The 25,810-nt window shown below is 46.5% G+C and overlaps 2 protein-coding genes across 17 annotated transcripts in view, besides 2 other annotated features; one reads left to right on the top strand and one right to left on the bottom strand.

Annotated features, from left to right (window-relative positions):
* Nucleotides 1-25,810, bottom strand: part of FYCO1 (FYVE and coiled-coil domain autophagy adaptor 1) — a 77,922-nt gene that overhangs the window by 15,205 nt on the left and 36,907 nt on the right. For 12 of the 13 annotated variants that reach the window (NR_170107.1, NM_001386430.1, NM_001386426.1 and 9 more), the window contains 3 exons: nt 25,301-25,512; nt 22,142-22,286; nt 3,341-3,436 (listed from right to left, as the gene is read on the bottom strand). Coding sequence is in view for 12 of the 13 variants with exons in the window: in NM_001386430.1 (NP_001373359.1) it covers nt 3,341-3,436; nt 22,142-22,286; nt 25,301-25,512 (453 nt within the window). In the remaining variant the exon portion in view is untranslated. The remainder of the gene's footprint in view (nt 1-3,340; nt 3,437-22,141; nt 22,287-25,300; nt 25,513-25,810) is intronic. The other variant, NM_001386423.1, reaches the window with a different exon arrangement.
* Nucleotides 4,438-5,637: an enhancer, noted in NCBI's record as "BRD4-independent group 4 enhancer chr3:45979037-45980236 (GRCh37/hg19 assembly coordinates)". NCBI's record gives its function as "activates an origin of replication core promoter dependent on BRD2, P300/CBP, MED14 and CDK7 cofactors, and independent of BRD4, by STARR-seq in HCT116 cells {active_cell/tissue: HCT116}" and the evidence as "EXISTENCE:reporter gene assay evidence [ECO:0000049][PMID:35650434]".
* Nucleotides 7,808-15,244, top strand: CXCR6 (C-X-C motif chemokine receptor 6). 4 transcript variants are annotated; one of them, NM_001386436.1, is made up of 2 exons: nt 7,808-8,239; nt 13,354-15,244. In NM_001386436.1, the coding sequence occupies exon 2, from the start codon at nt 13,375-13,377 to the stop codon at nt 14,401-14,403; it is 1,029 nt and encodes a 342-aa protein (NP_001373365.1). In that variant the 5' UTR covers nt 7,808-8,239; nt 13,354-13,374; the 3' UTR covers nt 14,404-15,244. The 4 variants fall into 4 exon arrangements, with proteins under 4 accessions (NP_001373365.1, NP_001373366.1, NP_006555.1 ...); NM_001386437.1 differs by having other exon boundaries at nt 7,808-8,190; NM_006564.2 differs by lacking the exon at nt 7,808-8,239 and adding an exon at nt 10,357-10,433.
* Nucleotides 14,440-14,609: a silencer, noted in NCBI's record as "fragment chr3:45989039-45989208 (GRCh37/hg19 assembly coordinates)". NCBI's record gives its function as "represses an EF-1alpha promoter that drives an FKBP-Casp9 reporter gene in an ReSE screen in HepG2 liver carcinoma cells {active_cell/tissue: HepG2}" and the evidence as "EXISTENCE:reporter gene assay evidence [ECO:0000049][PMID:32094911]".

Below are 25,810 nucleotides of genomic sequence, written 5' to 3' on the forward strand. Positions count from 1 at the left end.
AAGCAGATCTTAACAAAAACAAATCAAAGGTTTGCTCAAATATAATATAATCTTAAGATGCCTATTGTCTATAAGGCTCATGTCACAGATGTGAATTCCACTGAGTGACCTAAGAAATTTCAGTTTACATGAGTCAAGGGGTACCAACACATTTGCAGTGTTCTGAGATAATCCCAACCTTTAACATGTTTTCAGATGCTCTCATGATGTTGTTGCTAATCCTTAGCTTGCTGTCACTCTCTTTGAAAGAGGCAGAAAAAAATAACTTTCAAGGTGTTGTCATTCTCCTTGCATTTTATTCCCATGTCCAGCCGACCTATTCTCCATACTGTCTTATTCTCCTCAAAGACCTGCCTTGGATCTGTGTGGTCTAGTTATTTCTAAATCTCATAACTTTCCTCATTCCTTTACTTGAGGGTAGGTTTTTTACCAGTTTTATTATAAATGATTTCAAACATTTCCCTGTTCTTTCCCATTAAATGCCACTAAAAAAACTGAAAATGATTCAGCAGTTGTAGTAAAAGTGAAGGGCAGGAGAAGGAAGGCGGACTGATTAAGGACCCCCAGAATATGAGGAAAATCACAACAGCTTAGCGTCTCTGAGCCCCCCACCTACACATAATAAAAAACCACTCGTTATCCTAAGAGCCAGGAAAATCACAGTGTGCATGAGGAAAGACAATCAACAGAAGCCGACACTGACATCAACCAGATGCTGGAGTTATCTGTCAAGGCTTTTAAAGCAGCCATCAAAAAAAATGCTTCAGTAACAATTTTAAATGTTCTTGAAACAATAAAACAGTGGAAAACTCATACCAAAGAAACAGAAGATATAAAAAAGTACCAAATGGAAATTTTAGAACTAAATAATTACAATAACCAAAATAAAAAAAAAATCACTGGACACTCAATAGCTGAATAAAGATGACAGTTATACTTGAAGAGAGAAAAACAGAAATTCCTCAATCTGAACAACACAGGGAAAAGAGAATTGGGGGACAGGGTGCAAGGAAAAAGAACAGAGCCTGAGGAATCTACAAGGCAAGGACAAAAGATCTCACATTTGTATCACTGGAGTCCCAAATGGAGAGGGAAAATAGAGTGCATCTGAAAAAATGTTCAAAGAAATGATGGTTATAAACTTCCCAAATATGATGACAGATAAGCCTAGAGATTTAAGAGCTGAGTGTACCCCAAATAGGAAAAACCCAAAGAAATTCATGCCAAGACCCATCATAATTAAACGTCTAAGAACAAAAGACAAAGAAAAAACTTGAAAGCAGGCAGAGAGGAATAACTTATTATCTATGGGGGAATACCAATTTGAATGCCAGGGGATTTCTCATCTAAAACCATGGAGGCCAGAGGGAAGTAGCAGCACACATATTTCAAATGCTGAAAGAAAAGAACTTTCAATTCTATATCTGGCAAACATCCTTTAGATATTCTGTCAAATCCAGCAGTGTGTGAAAAGAATTATATACCACAGCCAGTGGGATTTATCCCAGGTATGCAAGGCTGGTTTGATATATGAAAGTCAATCAATGCAATCCATCATATCAACAGGCTAAGGAAGAAAAAGCCTATGATCTTATCAATTGATGTAGAAAAAAGATCTGGCAAAATTCAACAGCCATTCACGACCACCCAAGTTCTCTGTTACTATTTCTAATTGTCACTGCTGTGAGTAGCATGCAAGGGACATTTTGGTAGCTTTATCTTTGCACCTCCAGTCATTATTTCCTCAGGATAAATTCCCAGACACAGGCCCATTGCATCAAAGAGAAAATGCAATTCTTGAACTTTTGGTACATTCTGCAGCCAAGTTGCTCTCCAGAAAGGGTGGCCCTGACACTTCATACTCCCCCAGCATCAACAGCTTGTGAGTGGGCTAGCTATTTAATTCTTCCTGCTTGGTCTGCCCCATAATTCAATATAGTGTTTGTCCAAGTGTGGTCCAAGGTCACCTGAGGACTGGTGGAATAGATTATTCTCTCACGACCACATCTAAACCTTCAGGAAATTCTGTCTGCACCACCTTCAAAATAGGTCCAGAATTTGCCCTGGTCTCTGCCCTCTCTGCCAACACTTGGTCCAAGGAACAAGGATTCCTCTAATACCCTCCCAACTGGTCTCCCCACTTTGGCTCTCATCCTCCATCATCTATTCTCTACATGGCAATCAGAACAATCCTTTTTCAACTGTAAATTAGATTAAGTCACTCTTAATGCTACACACCTCATTTTGGGGGTCCCATTTCCCTCAGATTCAAAGTCAAAGTCCTTACAATGGCCAACAAGGCCCTATGTGCTGGGACCCTCATTTCCACTCTGACTCCACCTCCTGGTTCTCTCTGCTGCAGGCACGCTGGCCCTTTTCTCAGCCCCTGAACATGTCAGGCATTGTCCTGTCTCAGGGCCTTTGTGCTGCCTGTTCCCTCTGCCTGAAATGCTATACCCGCAGATAGATGCCTGGCAACTCCTTCACCTCCTTCAAGTCTTATCTTCTTACTGTCACTTTATTTAAAATGGCAAATTCCCCTTCCCTGTTATCCTACTTTATCTTTTTCCATAGCAAGCACTACCTTGTAACATTTATACAATATTGACTTATTTAATTATGTTTATAGCGTATCATCTGTCAACCCCTGCTGGAATATAAGCTTGATGAGGGCGAGGGGTCAGCCTTTCTTGGTTTTGTTTACTGACATGCTCTAAGCACCTAAAATAGTACCTGGCACATTGTGATAATTAATAAATATCTGTGAATGAGTGACTGAATCTATTTAATGACAATTATGCAGCCACTGGACACAACACTGGAGAACTCGATGATATGGGAAAATACTCATGCTATAGGAAGTTTTAAAAGACTGCAAAATAAGATTTAGAATATTTGTTTGTGTCAAAAATTATATGCATATATGTGTATAAAAAAGACTGGAAGGCTATATGCCAAAATGTTTTGCTTATCTCTATTTTCCTAATTTTTTACAATGAAAGTGTACTGCTCATACAATAAAAAAATTAACAAAGTTATTTTGAAAAAAGAACATGAGGTGTGGGAGGAATATTATAAAGGGGCAACTTCCTAGGGTGAGGGAACTGTTCTATATCTTAATTGCGGTAGTGATCACACTGTATAATTAATGAAAATTCAAGCACTGTATACTTGCTTGAATCTTAATGTATATAAGCTATGCCTGAAAAAAAAGAATAAACGAAGCCCCACTGGTATTAAGTTAGAGCCCCCGAGGTGGTCCCCAGCGCCGGCACTGGAGAGGCCAGTGCTCCTCCCAATGCCACACCTGGGGAGGGCCCAGGCAGCAGTTGCCACTTACATCAGTTCTCCAGACTTCAGCAGGCAGATTTCCGAATCCTGCCCCACGGGCATGTCTTCAGTGTCCTCAGGCGTTAGCGAGGTTGATGTAGTATCCCTGAAATGTCACAAATGAGAACACAGTCATTTAGCTATCAACACACAGGGTCTCACATCCTGGGGTCCGCAGTCTTGGAGTCACAGGCAGCCAAATCCAGATGCATGGGGGATCCTTTAATCATAGAGGCCATGACAGAGACCCTGGCAGATTTTGTGGGTAGAGGGAGGGCTGCAGGGGCCAGGGCCAAGCAGGTGGACAAGGAGAAGACAATAGGGCTACAGCAGTTTCCCTGGAGCAGCTGTAGGGAAGATACCTCCTGCTATAGGAAGGGTGAGCAGAAACACAAATCAACCACTCTCCTAGCCCACGCCAGCAGAGCTGTTGCCACAGGACCAAGGTACCAGCACCACTGGGTCCTGCCTTCTCAGTGCCAGTGCACAACTAGAGAAGCCTCTGGCCTATCCCTGGGGCACAAGAACAGGCACCCAGGGGAGATTTTTAACACCTTCTGAATTACGGATCCTTAGAACATTTTGGCAAATTGAAGTCCCTGCACTTCACTGATGGGGACACAGAGGCCCAGGCAGTTCCTCAGAGGCAGAACTGGAGCCAGAACTAGATACCCTGACTGCAACTTAGTGTTTTCCCTGTGGGGTTCCAGGTCCAGCTCAGCCAGGGACTTATACAATCTCAGGTGCCTCAGAGCCCAACCAGCTCCACTCCCCAGTTCTGCCAAAGAGGAAACCTAGGTCCAGAAAAGAAAAAATGGCTTTGCCCTCATGTGAAGGCATCAATGAGGAAGATCTCCCATGCAGTGTGGCTTCTTTCTAAATTGCTGAAACAATCTGTGCTCTTCCAGGAGCTGAATGCCACCAGCCCTGAGCAAGTGGGGCTCCCTCTAGCTGGAGGTCTCTGTGGCCCCCAAGGGCAGGGGACATGGTATGACTGTAGTGGGGTCCATTGTGGTTCCAGCTTCAGCACTGTGACTGTGTGACTCACGGTGAGCTCTTTCCTCCTGAGACCCCAGTTTTCCTTCTCTAAATGGAAGCAAATGTAACCAGATGGACTCTGGGTTCTGATGGCTTGAAAAGGCTGTAAGTTTTAAAGGACTCAGAGATAGCATTGTGTGAGCCCACTGGCTCAGAAAGAAGTGGGCTTGCTCTGGTCAGCAGCTTCCTGCCCACAGCCTCCGCTGCTCTTCTCAGGGAAGGTGCAGGAAGAACGCAGGCTGCAGCACCTGCTGCCACCAGGGGCATGTCTTGTCACTCTGGCATTTCTTTTTCTTCCTGGCCCCAACCCCCTCTCTGTCTTCCTCCTTGCCTAACACCTCCTTCTTTTTGCTTTCCAGCCGCTGGTTTCCAGGCCCGCACCCTCACCTCGGGACAAACAGAAACAGGGAACATCAGTGCAAGAAGCTGCTCAAGGAGCCAGCTTGTGCGGCCACCCACTTGACAGCAGGGAAGCACAAGTCCAGAGGAGACAGGCCAGGGTCACTCAGGCCTGCTTTTGTTTGCTTTCATCCTTGTCCAAGGCGTAAATACCATAAATGAGATAAAGAAATAACACAGAATGAGAGAGACACTGAAAGCTGTACTTGGTTCTCCCAATTTTCCCGCATTCAGGATAAAAGATGTCCTAATCTATAATTTCCTCTCTTCCTCCATCACCCTCCTCCCTGACCACAGTGATGACAGACAACGCCTGATTACCTGCAAGCAGATGATTCACAGAGCAGGTTTCCCAGACCCTTGCTGGCCCCGACAGACGCCCTGCATGAGTGAGGTAGGAATGGGATAGGTGGGTGATGCAGTCTCAAAGGTGACAATTAGGGCAGAGGGCTTTCTTTTCAATAGGTTTTCAAACTGTAGGTCATGACCCATTTAGTGGGCTGTGAATCAGTTTAGGAGGTTATGACCAACATTAAAAGAGAAATAGAATAAAACAGAAAATACAATAGTATATTGCATGTTGTGAGGATAAGTATTTATGAGGCTCTTGGGGTTTTTTGTTGTTGTTGTTTGTTTTTGAGATGGAGTTTTGCTCTGTTGCCAGGCTGGAGTGCCATGGCACGATCTTGGCTTACTGCAACATCCGACTCCCTGGTTCAAGCGATTTTCCTGCCTCAGCCTCCCGAATAGCTGGGATTACAGGCACATACCACCACACCCAGCTAATTTTTGTATTTTTAGTAGATACGGGGTTTCACCATGTTGGCCAGGATGGTCTCAAACTCCTGACCACATGATTGGCCCACCTCGGCCTCCCAAAGTGCTGGGATTACAGGCGTGAGCCACTGAGGCCAGCCTCGAGGCTCTTGTTTTGACCATATGTATACACACATGCAAACTAGGTAGCCGTGCAAAATGTATTTCTTACCATGAGATGTTGTAGGAAATGTTCAAGCAACTCAGAGGATGTCAAGGGATGTAAGAGCTTGAGAAAGGACAGCAACCAAAGCATGACCACTAGAGGGCACCCCACCTCCTACTACAGCTGCTTCCTTTCCTTGCTATTGAGGCAGCCTCAGCAAAGATACCAGATACTCACTGCCCACGCGGCTTTCCTCCTCCCCTTGCTCTGGTCATGGCAGCCTACTGCTAGCTTGGCTGATGGCATGCCACCCTTTCCTTCCGAGTTTCTGTCTGCAGCCTGTGGTCAGTTGAGTGAATATCTCTTGAGCACATGTTCTAGTCCGTCAACTTGTCTGTCCCTTTGTGGGTGCCATCCTGGCATTCCTGGGCAGCCTGCTGTGCACACAGCCCATGCCCAGTGAATATCTACATTATTTGTCTCAGGGTAAGGTTTTCTTCTGTCCCAAATGCTCCCAAAGGAGGACATACCCAAGGCTCCACATTAGAAGCGAGTCAGAATAAAGTGGTGAGCACAAATCAGGCAGCCCCTGGCACTGTAGTCCTGGAGTCCACACCTCTCTGAGTCATGGTGGAGCCCCTTCAGCTTGGTGTCTACAAATGGGAGTCTATAGTCCTTCCCTGTCACGACTCAAATGGCCTCAGCCTGTTTGTTATGTAATTACTGCACAACTTTAATCCTGCAGACTGCCTGCAGTACAGATCTGCTTGTTTAGAAACTAGCTGAGGGAGGAACAGATGCCTGGAAAATCCCTATGGCCCAAGGTGCCTTGCTGCCAATCTTCCCCAGAGGGTGCCATCTCCCCTCAGCCTCGCTAAGCCCCGCAGAGTGAGAAGTGTTGTTTTCCTGATTACACAGGCTCCCATCGTCCCTCTGGTCAGCCTCCATTTGTGAACAGTCTCCTGTGAAATGGAGATGTCTTCAGTTTAGAACTGCACTCTTCAATACAGTAGCCACTAGCCATATGTGGCTATATAAACTTAAATTCATCAGATAAATTTAACTAAAAATGTGGCTGCCTGGTGGCATTAGCCACATTTCAAGTGCTCAATTCAAGTGGCACTAGCCACCTGGACTGGTGGCCACTGTGTTGGGCAGTGCAGGTACAGCACAGGTCTCTCACAGCAGAAGGCTCCACTGACCAGTGCAGGTTTGGAAGGTTGGGCTGAACCACACCACACACATCATATTCACTCTGTGATCTGGGGGCATCTTTAAATTTTGCTATCAAATTATTATTATTGTATTAACTTGATTTTACTTTGCTAATCCATTGCTTATAAATTCCTAGTGTTAGAGTAGGTAGCTAGGCAGACATGAGCAGGGCAGGAGAGGGCCCCCCTCCCCCAGGAATGTCAGGTGACCATCAAGTAATGGTCAGGCAATTGTTAAGCTGTCTCTCTAAAATAACTGGTTGCAGCCAGAGCCAGAGAAAGAGTCTCCCAATAGATAGAAAACATCTGAAGCTGGTAATCAGCAGCTTCCTGACAAGATCTCAGGAGTTGGGCGAGTGGGCTCAAGCACGCACACTAAGAGGCAAAATGGCAGTTTAACCGGTATGTGACCTTCCTCTAGAAACGACTGATAAGGGAAAAACACCTCAAATGAGCATGCATACACCTCCAGTAAACAGTCTGAGCATGCAGCTCCTCCCAAGTGCTGGCAAGCCACCATGCCTGCGGACAGCCTGCTCCAAGGGAAGAGTCGGGGGAGAAGAAACATAAACCCTGGAACCATGCCAATGTATAAAACCTCAAGTCAAGGGCCGGATGGGGCACTTGGATCTCTCAGGTCACCTGCTTGGCTCTCTTCCAAGTATACTTTACTTCCATTTGTTCCTGCTCTAAAACTTTTTAATAAACCTTCACTCCTGCTCTAAAACTTGCCTCAGTCTCTCCCTCTGCCTTAAGCCTACTTCTGCCCCTCGGCCAAATTCTTTCCTCCAAGGAGGCAAGACTTGAGTTGCTGCAGACCCATATGGATTTGCTGCTGCTAACATACTTTGGTGCCACATGACTCAGACACATTCCCTAGTGGTAAGACACTCCTACAACTCACCTTCTTCCGCTGGAGGTAGTCAACCCCTGTACGCGGTTTCCTTCTCCTGCTCTCCTGCTTATAGAACAATTGTTCCTCCAGAACAATTCCTCTCAGCCATAGTGGCTCTGCTCCCACCAGATGATCTCTCAGCTCATCCTGGTGACTTGCAGGGGTACAGGTCTGCCGGCTATGTTGCCCAGGCTGGCCTCAAACTCCTGGCTTCAATGATCCTCTCATCTTAGCCTCTTGAGTACTGGGACTATAAGTGCCCACTGCCACGCCTGGCTGGTTAGGCTACTTTTCTGTGGATCACAGCCCATCATCCACCAATGCCTTGCCAACAACTGTAAATGTCTCATCCCTGAATCCTGGAACTGATAACAGCTCTGCCAGGTCTTCAGGTAAGGAGAGCAGGCCAACAGTCTGACTTCCAAGATAAATCTGCAGCAGGTATGTCTGCCACTTCCTTTTTACTCTTCCCTCAATTTTATTTAGAAAATGTTTAGGTATTTCTGGGGAAATCTAAGACATATATGATTGGGTTCCCACCCTTAGGAAGTTCAAAGTTTTGTTTCAAATAAAAGTAATGCCCTTAAAACAATTAACACTATAAATTGGCAGATAGTAAACGGCATTTTGTAAAGTGATTAAAATAAAATTTTAGCCCCAAACCTGCAAGTGGCTCAGCTCCTCAAATTTAGGTGAAAGTCTTTTGTACTATAGAGAAGTTTCTATTAAAGAATGGCCACGATAAACAAGCCATGCTTTCTCAAATACACATATCCCCATATTGACATGTACACACAGTCATGGAGGGCCCCAGGTGCTGGCTTGTTTTTCCCCATGGAGTAGAAAGGCTTGCTGAGAAAAGCATGGCCAAGGGTGCTTGACAAGGCTCAGGCCATTCTAACACTGCCCTATGGACCTGTCTTGAATGGCATGGTTGGTTGTCCCTGGGTAAAACTCAGCTCTCAAAGCTTAAAGATTCCTAAATGTCAGGCAGGGTTACATTAAATTGCCACCCTGCCTTGAAAGTTCTCTTTCAGGAAGACAGGTGCATATTTGGCTCAGTCTGTTCCTTTATTCATTTGTCCACCATTCCCTACATCCATCTGTCCATCGGTATGTAGTCTATGCGGCCTCATGGTTCATGCCCATAAGGAACACCTCACTCATTTGTACCAGTTTGGTAGAAAGGACAGTCTGAACGAATTCATTCAAAAAGGCCTGCAAACCTACTAGAGGTCTTCAGATCTTTTATCAGGGCCCCCTGGCACAGCTCCATACTCAGAGCAGGGCAGGAAGCACTGGCTTTGCAGCCTGACAGTCCTGGGTGACTGCCAGGGATGTGTGTTCTTGGGCAAGTGGGCTAATCTCTCTAATCTTCTGTTTGCCTATCTGTACGTGACTAGGATTAGATGGCTGTACATAGAAGCATCCAGCATAGGGCCAGGCTTGCGGTAGAAATGAGTGTTAGTCTCTGGATCCTGAGGCTGCTCCTGGTCCCTGCTCCCAATGCTTGACATTTGCCCTTAGGAAGAGCCACATGAGAAGGTTTGCCTAGCAGGTGGGAGAGAGCAACAGCATTGGAGAGAAGCAGCCTGAATGGGAGTGCAGAGCCAGAGAAGGCAGGCCAGGCACCTCCACAAGAAGGCAGCTGCTTCTGGGAAAGCAGACATCGAGTCCATGCCTCTCCCTAGTACCCTCTCCACTACAAGGCACTGGGGCATGTGACCCAGGCTGACATGCCTCCAATTCCTGCCTTCCAGCGTTATTTCCCAGAAGGGTCAGTAATGTTAGATCATGGAGACTGACAACTAGAACTGTACTGAGATCAAAGTAGTCAACATCTGGGGAATTCCAGGAGTACAGAGGGCAGCCCAAGGAAACCAGATGATTCCAGCCAGCCTACGCAGGGTGGGTGGGCACTGCCTGCTGAGTGCCTGAGTGGTGTGGGCTTAGGAGGTGGGGCTGCACCAGGCCCTCTGGCAGACCCATCATCATGCTGTTGATTGGTCTGGTAATGACAGATACCTGAGTGTGTATCTTCGATTTTCCAGTTTCTAGCTGTGTGCACCAGGGCTTGTTATTTTGGCTATGGTCCTCAGTGTTCTCATCTATAAAGGCAGGATAATATCCACTGCAGGGCTGCTATGGGGCTTAACAGCTATCACATATGCTGGAGCTGCATATGCACGCAGAACCCAGCCCATACCATGGACTCAGCATTGGCCCAGACCCTAACTGTTCCAAAAAGATGTCTGACTAGTGAATTAAGTAATTTTAAGGTACAAATGCCACCATCTTCGGTGGATGGCCAGAGCCAAACCTCCTTATTGTTCCCCTTTAGTTTACGAATAAAGCTCGTCAGGCCCTGACAGAAGAATCAGCCCCAAAGCAGAATGAAGGGAGTGTGGGGTATCAGTCACCCATCCATCTCTGACCCACGCGTTACACAGGGGCGGGTTGGTCATATGGATTCTGATCTGAAGGACGGGAGTAGGGGGTGGGTCTCTTATAGTAACCAGCTGAGGGCTCTTAAAAAATGTTCAGCGGAAACATGAACCACATCACAGAAGTAGAGGCAGACCTTGCTTCATGAGCAAGCTCATCTCTGGAACAAACTGGCAAAGCATCTCTGCTGGTGAGTCATTTGTTTTACTCTTTATATTGAAAAGAAGACAGGGAGGACTAACCCCAGGTATTGTTGGTATTCTCAGATTCCTGTCTGTAGTAGGGTACAGTGCAAAATGCCAGGCTATGGAGCTCAGCTGCTCTTCGTTCAAATTCCATCACTGCCATTTGCTGCTGTGTGGGTTAAACTGGAGAAACATGAAAACTACTGAACATGTTTCCAGGCACACAGTTAGTGCTTGCAGGCTGATGGTACTGCTAGTAATGGCATAGTCAGACCCACCCAGGGAGATAAGGAGAATCTAGTTATTGTCTATATTTGCTCAATGAATAATCTCTGTTTTCATTTCTTTTGCATAAGACAGGCTGTTTTATCAGATTATCATTTATGTTCTTTTTTCAATATAAATCAACATACTACTGTAGAAACTTTGAAAACTATTTTAAAAAAAGGAAGAAATAAGTCACCCATAATTCCACCAGCTGGAGGCCAACTGTTAATAAAATGTGATCATTTTTTCCAGGTTTCTAAAAGTACGGTCAGTTAAAATCACATAGTTTATCATGAACTCTTATGTGAGGGCCCACAGAATACATGGCAGAAGGATTCAAGGGGTTCATGGACTCCCAGAATTGTAGGGGTGTTTGTGTGTGTGCGTGTGTGTCTGTGTGTGTGTGTGTGTGTGTATATATATATACATTATTTCTGAGAAAAGGTCTGCAGTTTTTAGGAGATTCTCAAAGGAGTTTATGGTCAAAAAAGGTTAAGAATCACAATTTTATATCCTTTTGACATCTATTTGTTGTAATAGTAATAGTTAATACTTATTTTGCATATTTACTTTGTGTTTACACTGTTCTTAGCAATTTAACTGTATTGCATTTTCCAAAATCAGTAAAAATACTTCCTAAACATTTAAGTATATTCTATTTTATGTATGAATTGTAATTTGCTTCATCATTATCAGACTTTTACACTACTTCCAAAGTTGTAGATTTTTTTTTTAATTTTCAGAAAACAAAATAGGATTTTAATTATAGAGGATAAAGAAATGAATGTTTTTAGTTCGCCTAGAAGGGAAAGTAATTTTTCATACTCTATTTGCACAGCACTGTCCAGGCCCAATCTGTTTACCAATTATTATACATCAAAGTTTACCAATTATTACACATGAATTTGCACAGGTCCTTTGAGGAAATGTGTAATGGCAGCATAAGGGACCAGCAAAAGCTGGAACAGGAAGATACCAAAAAAAGGCGAGAGCGAGTCAAGCAATAATGGGGAGCTGAACATTATTCTTAAGAGCAAAGCCACCTGTTTCATATTTTAAATGATGAAAAAATATGTTTTTGCCCATGTGAATCAATAACACATACACATCATCTGACCTACTTAATACAGTGCCCCAGAGAGCTTGTGGGGGGCAGGATGTCTACTGGCTGACCTATCACCCTTAGAGATCTAACAATTGTGACGTAAGGGCAAGGATTTTTATTAAGCAGTCTTAGCCCAAAGGCAGCATCCTTCCTTGCTAGAGAGAAAGGGCACTTTGGTCCCTGGAAAGACAGAGGCAAGCAGCAGCATCGGAGACACTGCTCCCAGTCAGGACTCAAAGTCAGCGACAGAAGTGTTTCTGAGTGGATTAGGAAAGGTAACCTCATCGTTTATATGCACTTGTCTGGTCAGGCAATATTTTGACTTTGCTGGCAGAGATTCTGTCCAAACACCTGCTCTTCTTCATACATCTTCTAGAGGTGCTGGCCAGACATGGCTCCAGGTCACTGGAAATGAGCTGCTGCATGTTGAGTATCTGCAGTCCTGTAGCAAGGGCAGACTTGGCACTCATGGGCTGATGTTGCCGCAGCTGCCCCTGCTCCCACACCACAGGTTACATGATCCCTTGTCCTGTCCATGGTCTTTGGCAGGGTCACAGGGCAGAGGGAAGGGTCAGAGAGAAGTGACATCTTGAAGGGCTGGTGCCCTGGGTAAGAAAGGTTGCCCATCTGGCATCCCATTTCAATTGGGTTTTCTGCTTGTTAAATGAGGCCCCTAAGTCCTAACCTGCCAATCACAGGAGCTAAGGCAAGGTTCCGCTTTGGGGAAATCTACCTTTTAAGAGACTTCTTGTTCAGAAGTCTTCAGGAAATGAGGCTCTGATGGTAGAATGCCATAAACTGTGTTAACTGATGAAGGGGAAAGTTTAGTTGGGAAGTGAGGAGAACCACCCAATGCTTTAACCATGAAGCCAGCTCAGCCAAAGTGCTGGGCAGTCGTGGGCTTTTCTATGCTTTGTTTCCCCATTAGTAGCCTTTGAAAATCTATGCAATTGAGGGGAAGTAAAGGCAGGAAGGACTACCTACCCAGGCAGAGCAGTCTTGCCATCCCCAAACACCTGTGGTCTCCAGGAGTCTCCTTGATAGGAGAGCCCCCTGGTAGGGGCACTTGCTTTAGCTTTCACAATTTATTAGGAAATGGGGCTCAGGATGGGTGGGCAACTGTGGTGAGGCAGGGGGAGATGAAAACAGGCATGTTCCATTGATGAGCTCATATTATCAGTGGGCTCAACCATCCATCATCAGTGTTGCTCTTCCAAACAGCACTGTGCCCACCTGGCAGCAAAGCGACTTTTGGTTTCAAAATAATTGAGCACAGGATTTTATGGAATGTGCTTAGGGGTCAGTTATGAGTTGTCTCCCAGATGGGTGAGATCCTGAGAATTTTCAGGCTAATGGAGAGTCCTCATCCTGTCTGAGCAATTTCCCCTCAGAATTGGTTATCTTCAATATACTGGACTGTGCTGTTTCTACACATCCCAGTGGGTGGGTTTAGAAGATGACTATTTGCCCCCTAAATGTGGTCAATGGGATAGCAGGAAGACAAAGAATGCCATCCTCAGCCCCAAATATAATTCCTGGGTTCTGACTCACAGGTGTTCATCAGAACAGACACCATGGCAGAGCATGATTACCATGAAGACTATGGGTTCAGCAGTTTCAATGACAGCAGCCAGGAGGAGCATCAAGACTTCCTGCAGTTCAGCAAGGTCTTTCTGCCCTGCATGTACCTGGTGGTGTTTGTCTGTGGTCTGGTGGGGAACTCTCTGGTGCTGGTCATATCCATCTTCTACCATAAGTTGCAGAGCCTGACGGATGTGTTCCTGGTGAACCTACCCCTGGCTGACCTGGTGTTTGTCTGCACTCTGCCCTTCTGGGCCTATGCAGGCATCCATGAATGGGTGTTTGGCCAGGTCATGTGCAAGAGCCTACTGGGCATCTACACTATTAACTTCTACACGTCCATGCTCATCCTCACCTGCATCACTGTGGATCGTTTCATTGTAGTGGTTAAGGCCACCAAGGCCTACAACCAGCAAGCCAAGAGGATGACCTGGGGCAAGGTCACCAGCTTGCTCATCTGGGTGATATCCCTGCTGGTTTCCTTGCCCCAAATTATCTATGGCAATGTCTTTAATCTCGACAAGCTCATATGTGGTTACCATGACGAGGCAATTTCCACTGTGGTTCTTGCCACCCAGATGACACTGGGGTTCTTCTTGCCACTGCTCACCATGATTGTCTGCTATTCAGTCATAATCAAAACACTGCTTCATGCTGGAGGCTTCCAGAAGCACAGATCTCTAAAGATCATCTTCCTGGTGATGGCTGTGTTCCTGCTGACCCAGATGCCCTTCAACCTCATGAAGTTCATCCGCAGCACACACTGGGAATACTATGCCATGACCAGCTTTCACTACACCATCATGGTGACAGAGGCCATCGCATACCTGAGGGCCTGCCTTAACCCTGTGCTCTATGCCTTTGTCAGCCTGAAGTTTCGAAAGAACTTCTGGAAACTTGTGAAGGACATTGGTTGCCTCCCTTACCTTGGGGTCTCACATCAATGGAAATCTTCTGAGGACAATTCCAAGACTTTTTCTGCCTCCCACAATGTGGAGGCCACCAGCATGTTCCAGTTATAGGCCTTGCCAGGGTTTCGAGAAGCTGCTCTGGAATTTGCAAGTCATGGCTGTGCCCTCTTGATGTGGTGAGGCAGGCTTTGTTTATAGCTTGCGCATTCTCATGGAGAAGTTATCAGACACTCTGGCTGGTTTGGAATGCTTCTTCTCAGGCATGAACATGTACTGTTCTCTTCTTGAACACTCATGCTGAAAGCCCAAGTAGGGGGTCTAAAATTTTTAAGGACTTTCCTTCCTCCATCTCCAAGAATGCTGAAACCAAGGGGGATGACATGTGACTCCTATGATCTCAGGTTCTCCTTGATTGGGACTGGGGCTGAAGGTTGAAGAGGTGAGCACGGCCAACAAAGCTGTTGATGGTAGGTGGCACACTGGGTGCCCAAGCTCAGAAGGCTCTTCTGACTACTGGGCAAAGAGTGTAGATCAGAGCAGCAGTGAAAACAAGTGCTGGCACCACCAGGCACCTCACAGAAATGAGATCAGGCTCTGCCTCACCTTGGGGCTTGACTTTTGTATAGGTAGATGTTCAGATTGCTTTGATTAATCCAGAATAACTAGCACCAGGGACTATGAATGGGCAAAACTGAATTATAAGAGGCTGATAATTCCAGTGGTCCATGGAATGCTTGAAAAATGTGCAAAACAGCGTTTAAGACTGTAATGAATCTAAGCAGCATTTCTGAAGTGGACTCTTTGGTGGCTTTGCATTTTAAAAATGAAATTTTCCAATGTCTGCCACACAAACGTATGTAAATGTATATACCCACACACATACACACATATGTCATATATTACTAGCATATGAGTTTCATAGCTAAGAAATAAAACTGTTAAAGTCTCCAAACTACTTTTACACTTCGGCACATTCTATTTCAATGTGGTATGCCTGGAATATACAAAAAAGTTACTTTTGGGCTCAGAGCCCGGGAAATAAGTCGTAAACTTTCATGGCATTGCTCTATCACGGAAATGGAATACACCAGTGATAATGACCCTGCTCTTTCACTGTGGTTTCTAACCTCCTGTCCAAAGTGTGGGGCACATTTGTTTAACTTCCAGAATGTGGTCACAGGATGAGGCATAGTTTTAAATGTCAGATTTTATGCATGTTTATTAAATCCTGGCAGTCTGTTCAATAGGCTTAAAGATGTTTTTTGGGCTTATGTATCCCAAAATCACTCACCAAAATACGGAGAACCAACTGACAACAGCTAAGTAGAATGCGCAGAGAAGTAGGCCAGAACTGACTTAACAGTGTGGTTTTGGGGCTGAATAGACGAGAGCTGAATCCCTGCCACTCACCAGTTTGTAAGACCTTGGGCGAATCTCTTAGCCTCTGAGCACCTGTTTCCTTTCTTTTTGGTGAAACATGGATCATAACAGCACCACCTCTATGGGTTGGTGTGAATACCTGAGACACTGCATGTAAAACACTTGGCACAGTTTGCATTTGGGGAGAAAAGGTCCAAAAAATAGCACTAGTTATTATTTCTTACAAGAACTGGTGACACAAAATGGAAGCCCTCCATGTCAGCTCCGTGGGTTAGCGAGGCGAGGGAGGGTTTGTATCGTGCCTTCCAGGTGTGTGGCATACCATGTGCACCTGGTGCAGCTGAGCACAGGCTGGGCCTTTCAGAGCCCACATGATCCTACCTACTGTTTCATAAACATGCCTAAATGCGTCTACAAGCAGAGTTTTACTGTACTCAGGCCACATGGACCTCCGAGTGCTTCCTCCAACTACAAAATCTGCCCTTTTAGGGTGACAAGGCTGACATTTATCTTTTAAGTGGCTTTCAAAGAGAGTTTCTGTCATTCCCCCTTTGTGCATTCATGTTAACCTGGAACACTTCTGACAGAGGGGCCACCAGTCCCTGGTATCCCTGACAGTGTCCCGGCCCAAGGGACAGAGGCAGAAGTAGAGTCAGGAGACAGGGCCCTGCAGCATTTCCACGAGTCCCCATGGAGAGATGCAGAAAGGTGTGATGAGAATGCAGGCTCTGGGCTCACTCTGACAGTGTTCAGTGACAGCTCCACCACCATGTACCCCTGTGCAGGGGATGCAGTACCCCTGACCCAAGCCCTGGTTCACCACCTACACCACTGGCTCATGAAGGCCTTCCCTCCTGGGGTGCTCATGAGCACGGCCAGCACACTGCAAGCACCATGCTTGGGCCTGCCTGGCCACAGCAACAGAAAAGCAGCGCTGGGACCATGGGGCTTTCCCTGACCAGGTGCCCGCCCCCTCCCAGGGTCCCTGCACTGGCCTTTTGTAGCTTAGGAAAGCCCTGCCTGCCTGGCCCCAGGAACAGCACAGCAGCAAAATCTTTCTTTGCCTTCCCTGCCTCCTCAGCCACTAATTGATCCTATGCGTCTGGGCCCTTACCTGCCACTCTTTGGAGTAGATGTCAGTTTACCAACCCCTTCCCCTGGATAGGGGAATAAACGCGGGCACAGCACATGCAGATTACAAAGGGCCTTCACGTCTTGATCTCACTCCATCCACATCACAGCCCAGGAAGCAGAAGATGCTGTTGGTACAGGCTCCATTCCACAGAGGAGACTGAGGTCATGTGTGGGGCAGAGCCAGTTCCCAATCTCAGCCCACCCTTCTCCCTTCCATTTGGCTCTCCCTTCTGCTTGTCCACACCAGCACATGGCATCAGAGGCCTTGGGGGAGGGGATGAGGCTGGGTGTGGGCTCTGCTTGAGTCCATACTGCCTTGGTGTGGCCTCAGGGTTGGAGGGTAAAGGATGTGCTCTTTCCCTACCAAGTTCCCAACACCTGGGGGTGGCTGCAGTACTTATGGGCTCCAATCCCTTCAGAGATATGGCAGAGGCCACTAATGGCCACATCATCTGAGATGTGGGGAACACAAGATGACACTGACTCTAGGGGCTACCTGGGTGCTAGGGGCCCAGGTGTCCTCCGTAGGTGTTCTGGACTGAGGAGATGGTGCCATAGAAGGGAAAAGCCTGGAGCTACCCCTACTGGAGGGGTGGAGGCAAAGCGAAGAGGATGGGGCCCAGAAGTGGTCAGGGCAGTCACTCTGGCCTCCTCCTCCAAGGGGCTCTCAAAGCAGCACCCCCTTCCAGCTGCCTAGTCCTTGTTGGTCCCTGGTAACTAATGCCATTTTGTAGAAGGCCTGGCACTATCATCCCCATTTTCAGATGAGAAAACTAGTTCAGAGAGATTAATGCCTGCCAAAGCTCACACAACAGAGCTAGGACTACAATCTCAGTAAACAGCCTTTCTTTGCCCAGAAATGTTGGCTCCAAGAAGGTTTCCTGCCACTGACAAGCCACAGGGTACCTGTCACCTCTGTATTCAGCTGAAGGCAGAGATCTTGGGTCAACCCACGCGCAAGGTGGCTTTGTAACCTTAACCATTCACCATATCCTGTTCTCATTTTGTTTCTGAGATACCAAACATCAAATCTCCTGGTGGGTGACAAATCTACCACAGCTCCCCTAAACACTCTGACCATGAAGCACCAGTTCTGAAGCAATTACTGGTAAAGATGCTCTGAGGGTTCAGGGAATGTTTCTGTGGGAGAGTTTAAGCTCACTTAGGGTCATCTGGGTATCTGAAGGATCTTCTTTGCAGGAGACGACTGGGCTGCGCAGTGCAAGGTACTGAGGTGGTAGCAGTAGCACACACAGCTCAGCCCCTGATGACACATCAGGAAAGCAACATAACTCCATGAAAGTCTTCCCAGGCATTAGACACTGGGCTGGGCTCAGTGCTCCACACACACAGTTCTCATGCAATCTTCCTAACACCCCTAGGGGTGAGTGCTGTTCCAGTCTCTTCGGTATAGAGGAGGAAACTGAGTTTGTGGGCTGCACTACCTAGAGCCATGGAGCCTGGAGGTGGCAGACCAGGTATGTTTGGTTCTGGAGCTCAAGCTCTTCACCACCATACTGTCTGCTCATCTGGTAGCTAGAGGGGGAGGCCGGGCCTCAAGGAGGCCATGACTGGGTAGAGGCTGAGCAAAGGCTGAGGGAGCCACAGCCCAGTGCCCCTGCCAGCCCTTACTCCACAGGCCTGGTTCACCAGCTGCCAAGAGCTTGATTTCCTTCTCTGCCTCAGTCCAGAGAACAGCTGGACACCTGGTCAGTGTAGATGGTGGAGGGTGGGCCTGAATGACTGAAAAGGGGTTGTGCATGGGTGTGTCTGGAGGGCTATGACGAATACCATCTTTTCTCCAGAAGTCAGGGGCTGTGGTCCTGCTCTGCACCACCATTCTAGGTCTGAGCCATGCACAGGGACCACTAGGAGGTTGCTTAGGGAGTCCCAGCATCAGGCCACATCTCCCTGGCAGGCTGGACTTTGGGACCCCTTCCTGACCCATCTCTGCCAGGAGGAGGGGCAAGGCAAACAACTTCCTTAGCCCCAAAACTGTGTACATGTGCGAAAGAGAGAACATGAAGGCAGGGGAGATGGGCAAAATGCGGACATGGGACGGAGAGAAGAGAGCTGAACTCTTCCAAATGAATCTTAAGCCAGTGGACTGGAGTCTAAAGCCTAGTTCTGGCACCTCCAACAACAGAAGTTATCCAGCCTCCTGAGGCTTCAGCTTCTTTGCCTATAAAATGAGATAATTTCCACTCCCTGATGGGCTGCACAGGGACTAGTGAGGTCACGTGTAAGAGCAGCTGGTGCAAGGGAGGCGCTCAACAGCATCACTTTCAACAACACTACTTCCAAGTGGCCTAATATTCCTCATGAATTTGGACTTAGTGTTTAATCTCTCCCGGATCCCTTCTTACCTTGGATTTGCTTATTTTTTCCCGAAGTTTCTTGCCAGGGATGCTTACACAAATCTAGGGCTCTAGATCTCCCACACTTTCTCAGACTCTCGGTGTTTTTGGTTTAGGTCTTAAAACTTAGGAAGAAAAAGTATGTAGGAAAAAGCTACCAGAAATGCTTGGGTTTATCTCTAGCTAATGCACAAAAAAAGTGTCTGACAACGCAGCCTTTAACTGACTTGGAAGGGTGGCTCTTCACCCTAACAGAAGTGCAGGGATTACAGGTTCCTATCAGTTAGTCCCAGATCCGCCTTGGTGGCCGAAGACCAGCACACTGGCAGTTTCCTTTCCCTGGAACAGTTCCTGATTTCCCAAGACCAAACCACACATATTTGTCAGCAGTCAGAATGCCTTCTGTTTTTGTTCCTACTGGGCAGGGGAAGGTGAGGGGTAAGGAGAGAGAGAGCTGTAGGATAGTCACTTTCTCACTCAGGCTAGAGGAAGCAAGAAGAGAATTTCAAGCCGGAATGTCCTCCCAGGCCCCCAGGTTTCTGGTCCTGCTCACTTTACCACCTATCATCTACCCACCTGGCTTTCCAGGTGATGGAGGCAGAGTGTGGCTTAGTGCTAGTGGAATGGAACATGCCCCAGGGACCATTGAGCCATGGGGGTTGGGAGAACACTGCAGGCTTACATGGTCAGGGGTTGGAGGGGTGTCCCAGGAAGGAAAGGAAAAGCCTAAAGTCACAGAAGTGACAGAAGTAGACATGATCTTGGGTCTGGTGAGTTTGGTGATCAGGCTGGCTTTATCCATGAAGCTATAACATGATAAGTTCAGTTATTCTCTAGTCAGGGAACAGAGGGTTGTGGAGATACATGTAAGCCCGAAGTCCCTTACAATGGCAGCGTCATGAAGATTAAAGACATGCAGCAGAAATCCTGAATGATCAATCTGACAGAGCAGTCCTAGCTCTCCTCTGAATTCTGGGCAGGAAAAGAGGGACAGATCTCAATGTTGAGGCAGGAGCATCATAAAAAATGTCCTTAACCAGAGGGAAAATGGGTCAAGAAACGTCTGGGACCTGGGACCCACATAAATTCTTTCTTGAGGTTCTGAACAGCCAGTGCTTTTTTGTAAACTGCTCTAAAGCCAGACAACACAGACTGAGAAACATCAAGCAAGGACCTCCTTTTCTTATGGGTCCCATGTCATAAACTCTTGACATTTTAACATGGTGGCACTTTATACAACTCATATTTTTAAAAACTGACCTTGTGAAACTCTCCTTGAAAACCTTGTTGGCAAATAGCTACACTAGAAAAATGAGAAGGCCAAGGGAGAATAAGTACTTAAGGATATCCTTGCCGTGGCTGCTTTGTCCCTCTGAAGCCTGCTCTGCCTGTGTAAGCTATAGCATTCTTGCGGCAGTCAGGAAGGTTCAGTGGATCCAGGTCACTGATTAAAAGCAGCATAAAATACCAGTGCTAGGGCAAAGTGCAGGCTAGGTGAGTGGAAAGTCCCTTGGGTTCCACAGGGTACAGAGTAATAGGCCTGTCCATATTTTTCTTACTGCTAAAACTTTGAGGCTTTGAGTGGGTTTATCTGCAGCTAAAGGAACCTCTGAGAGGGCGCATCTATCAGAGACAATTGCAACTAAATCCGAGCTTCCTTTCTCATGGCATCCTCGCCAAGCCTGATTAGTGTTTCCAAAAGATGAACTAAACTCACCGTGCTGGAGCCTCATGGACAAAGCCAATCCAATCACCAAACTGGAGACCCAAGACAGCCCCTACTCACTGTTGCCTCTGTGACTTTGGGCCTTGCCTTCCCTTCCTGGAACACCTTCCTCTGAAGCAAGCTTATCCAACCTGTGGCCCATAGGCCGCATGCAGCCCATGACTTTGAATGCAGCCCAACACAAATTCATAAACTTTCTTGAAACGTTATGACATTTTTTGGGGGGGGTAAGGCGATTTTTTTAAAGCTCATTAGCTATTGTTAGTGTTAGTTTATTTTATGTGTGGCCCAAAACAATTCTTCTTCCAGTGTGGTCCAGGGAAGCCAAAAGACTGGACACCCCTGCTCTGATGCGTTCCCTGACAGTATTAGCCTGCAGTGTTCTCCCAACCCCTATAGTCCAGTGGTCCCTAGGGCATGCTTCATTCCATTAGCACTAAGCCATACTCTGCCTTCATCACTCAGCAAGCCAGGTGGGTAGGTGGTAAGGTGAGTAAGACCAGGAGCACAGGGGCCTGGGAGCAAGGCTTTTAAAGAGCAGCATGTTGCTCTGAGCAATTGCCAAGGGCGGCCCAGCAAGGGTTGCTGTTATAGGCTGAATCGTCTCCCCATGCCCCAATTATTCACATGCTGAAGCCCTAAGCACCAGTACCTCAGACTGTGACTGCATTTGGAGATGAGGCCTGTAGAGGAATGATTAAGTTAAGATGATGCCGCTAGGGTGGGCCCTAATCCAATCGACCAGTGTCTGTAAGAAGAGGAGACTGAGAGACATGGAGACACACCAGGGGCATGCAACAGGGGACAGCCACATGAAGAGGCAGCAAGGGGGCAGATATCTGCAAGCCAAGGAGAAGCATCTTGCAGGAAACCAGCCCTGCCAGCACCTGACCTTGCACTTCCAGCCTCCAGAGCTGTGAGAAGGTAAATTTCTGTTATTTAAGCCACCCGGTCTGCGGTATTTTATATAGCACCCAAGCAAACTAATATAGTCGCTCAAGCCAAGAAAGACAGGCCTTAATAGTGATGCTGAAACCTGGGGCCACTGACATCTCTCAGGAACTCTCTGCAAGGCTCAACACTGACAACTTCCCGAGCGCCGATGCTCTTCAAGGCCATCGCAAGCACTGTTCCCTTAGGCAAGGACAGTCAATCCTGCTTCCAGTGTCTCACTTTCCTCATCCTTTGATAAGAAAGCACAGGGGCCAGGCCTGTAATGAGCACTCAGGAAATGGGGGTGACCTCTACTCACTGTTCAGCCGCATTTGGGTCGAGAGAATCAGTTTCAGTGGGTGTTTCAGGCAAAGAGGAGCCGGACTCCTGTATCTGGCACAATTCCTCATCTGTGATGATATCAAACACAGCGTCGTCCGGTGGCCTGTAGTCTGTATTTGCTCCTGGGCAGCAGAGGCAGATCAGGAGAGAAGAGACACAACACACTGTTATGCATAGGCTGGGTAAGGGCCCTTGGGAAAGTGAGAGAGTGCAGCTATGCAGAACAAGCTGCTGAGGCACAATTTAAGTGGTCACTCAACTGACAGCTATTCTGTCCAGAGTTGAGAGAAATGGTTGGTTGCTGGAACATTCCAAAAAAGTAGAGGAAGGCTTACAGACGAAATGGAATGTACAACCTAAGAGACTTCTCAAAGTCAGGGGCTTAGAGAGGTTTCAACCTCTTGCATATTCTCTGAGGTCCCTTATTTAGAAGGAAAAATCTTATTAAGAAAGAACCTAATAACAGAAAACACACTTCTATGCCACTAAATCCTTGCTCTGTAAGACACAGGCAGTACTTATTCATGTATTTTTGAAAGCAGGAGTCTGTCTGACCTGCATTTTCCCTTAATCCACTGATGCGTGGGAAAGAACCTCCCAGTGCTCAAGGGCTTGCAGCAGGCACTGGGTTTCCAACCAGGGGCCTTGTGTCCGACTGTGCAAACCACTTAGTAGGAAGGCCACTGTAGAAATGTTCCTGTACCAGTCATCTGCCCACAAACACTCTCCAGCATATGTCACGGAAAAATGTGAGAGCAGGTTTGAGGCAAAAATGAAAAAAACACTGGGTGCTGTGGCTCATGCCTATAATCCCAGCACTTTGGGAAGCCGGGGTGGGTGGATCACTTGAGGCCAGGAGTTCAGTACCAGCCTGGCCAACTTGATGAAACCCTGTGTCTAATAAAAATATAAAAATTAGCCAGGTGTGGTGGCGGGCACCTGTAATCCCAGCTACTCAGGAAGCTGAGGCACGAGAATCACATGAACCCAGGAGGCAGAGGTTGCAGTGAGCCGAGATCGTACCACTGCACTCCAGCCTGAGAAACAGAGCAAGACTTAGTCTCAAAAATAAATAAATAAATAAATAAATAAATAAATAAATAAATAAATGAGTAGACAGGAAATGTCAAAAATCAAAACAAGTGACCGCAGCACTCTGTGGTCACTAATGAGTCAGGGCAAGCCCATGCAAAGTTCCTGGGGTGTTTAGCAAGAAAAATGGTTCAGGTGAGCTTAAAGTTCCCACCTGGACCTGCCACATGACCACTAAGGCAGGCCCTGCTTTAGAAGTGAAGTTCTTCTTCTTGTTTCAAGTCTGTGTAATAGAGAGCTTGAGGCATAGGCTGAAAAAAGGGGCCAGGGATTGTTTTTTTTTCCATCAATTCAGCCACACTCCTGAACCTGCCTTGTAAGGCTGGCAGAGGGAAGGGAAAGCAGACAGCAGGGATCTAAAATGATGTCCACTGAGAGAAACCAAAGACTTAAATAAATAGAAAGTTGTATCATGTTCATGGACTGAGTCAATTTTATTAAGATGTCAATTCTCCCCAAACTGAACTAGAGATTCAATGCAATCTCAATTTAAATATCACCAGGATTTTTTGTAGAAATTGACAAACTGATTCTAAAACTTATATAGAAAAACAAAAAACCTAGAATAGCCAATACTTTGATAAAGAACAAAACTGGAGTCACTCTACGTGATGTTAAGATGCTTTATAAAACTATGGTCATCATAACAGTTTGGTATTAGTGAAAGAATAGGCACATAGATAAATGGAATAGAATAAAAGTCCAGATATAAATCCACACATATAAGGTCAATTGCCTACTTTCTCATGGCAGCATAAAAAAAAATAAGGTCGGTTTTTGACAAAGGTGCAAGGAACAGTCTTTCAATCAATGGTGTTGAAATAACTGGACAGCCATACAAAAAGATGAATCTCTATTCATACCTTGCACCATACACAAAGATAACTGAAAATGCATCATAGGCCTAAATGTATAAGCTAAAGCTGTAAAACTTCTAAGCGACAACAGAAGAAGGTCTGTGAGTCCTTGGGCTAAGTAAAGCCAGACATGACAACAAAAAGAAAAACATTTATGCATAACAGAAAAAACCTGATACATTGGACCTCATTAAAATGATAAACTTCTGCTCTTTGAAGACTTTTTTGCTCTTTGAAAGAAAATATAAAGATAAGCTATAGATTGGGAAAAAATACTTGTAAAATACATATGTGACAAAGAACTTGCATAGAGAATATACAGAGGACTCTCAACATTCAATACTTAAAAAACATTTTAAAATGGGCAAAAGATTTGAAGAAGATAAACTAAAGCTGTGCAAAGTACACTCCCCATCCTTGTCAGTTCTTTGTACCCAACAACATAATGGGGCCTGCCAACCACTTGGTAATCCACTCAAACAAAAGAGGAATGGACAGTATTTCTAAAGGCTGGCTGGCCTGCATCCAGGCAGAGGCCAAGGAGGAGTTCACAGGGACCAGCTGCAGATGGCAATGATGCTCGAGCAGAGACGAGCTGAGACCACTTCTGCCTGTGCCGTCTCAGCTCTGCCTCCCTGTGTTCCACATTCAAAGTCCAGTGCCCGGAAGGGCAGCCCAGGCCTGTCTGCTAGGGTGTGCTCAAAACCGAAGCAGCAGAACCCAAACTCTACTTCCTTCACTGGGCTGAGTGGGAGGACACAAAGGAGATTACATCCTCCTTGGACATGAAGGAAGAGCGAGCTTCAGGAAGAGACTGAAGGATATGGATGGTTCCAGACACAACTCCTAGCCTTGAGTTACTCTGGATGCCAAGGCTGCAGCTCTGGTAGACGGCATTCTCCAAAGCATGGGGTGTATTTCATGAATGTGCATTAACAGGTACATAGACTTCAGGTTAAATCACACTGAATCTTATCAGGGCAAAGTTATTCCTTTTTCAATTCTCTTTCAATCCTAATATATCAAAATGAAAGTCTCAAGTTGGTGGTAATATATTTTAGCACCTCTTTAATACCTAAGTTTAGAAAACACTGAATTCAGCTTATTAGCACTAACTAGCCACAACATCGGTAGGGGAGGAAGTGGCACCTAGAGAACATAGTAGGCAGTAGTAGCAGGAGACTGACCTTGGCCTCCTGTGGCCTGGGGCCCAGGTGAGGCTGGTGACAGTGCAGGGCTGGGCTCTCCCTGGCTAGTGCCTGAGCCACTGCTATCAGGGGAGCCAGGGCCTTCACTGAGCTTCTGGAAACAGGCTCGGCAGCAGCGCTCCTTTTTGCCACCGTGCTTGCTCAGGACGTAGTTGTTGCAGCAGTAGTAACAGAAGATGCGGCCACATATCCTGGGAACAAAACAAGCCCAGGCTGTGAGGATGACACACTATGATCTTGTGTGATCTGCTCAGCACCCAAACTGGGCTCTGGATGCCATGTGACTCTCATCAGACCTGGCTCTGCCCCCAAGTTAGGATGTGGCCATGAGCTCATTTCATAAGATTCCAACAAAGCCTTCTTGTCAGCTTGGTGAAAGCATGGTTTACTTCCTAAGGTCCTGGGAGGCAGGGAGACAAAGTGTGGCTGAGCCCACCTTCCCTGGCACCAAGTTGTAGGTATGCCTCCCATATCTCAGAAGCTAAGGCT

Source organism: Homo sapiens, chromosome 3, assembly GCF_000001405.40.
Source record: "Homo sapiens chromosome 3, GRCh38.p14 Primary Assembly".
Lineage (NCBI taxonomy): Eukaryota > Metazoa > Chordata > Mammalia > Primates > Hominidae > Homo > Homo sapiens.

Bases quoted from the DNA above. Each gene is read 5' to 3' on its own strand.
- CXCR6 (NM_001386436.1), top strand. From the start codon at position 13,375: ATGGCAGAGCATGATTACCATGAAGACTATGGGTTCAGCAGTTTCAAT.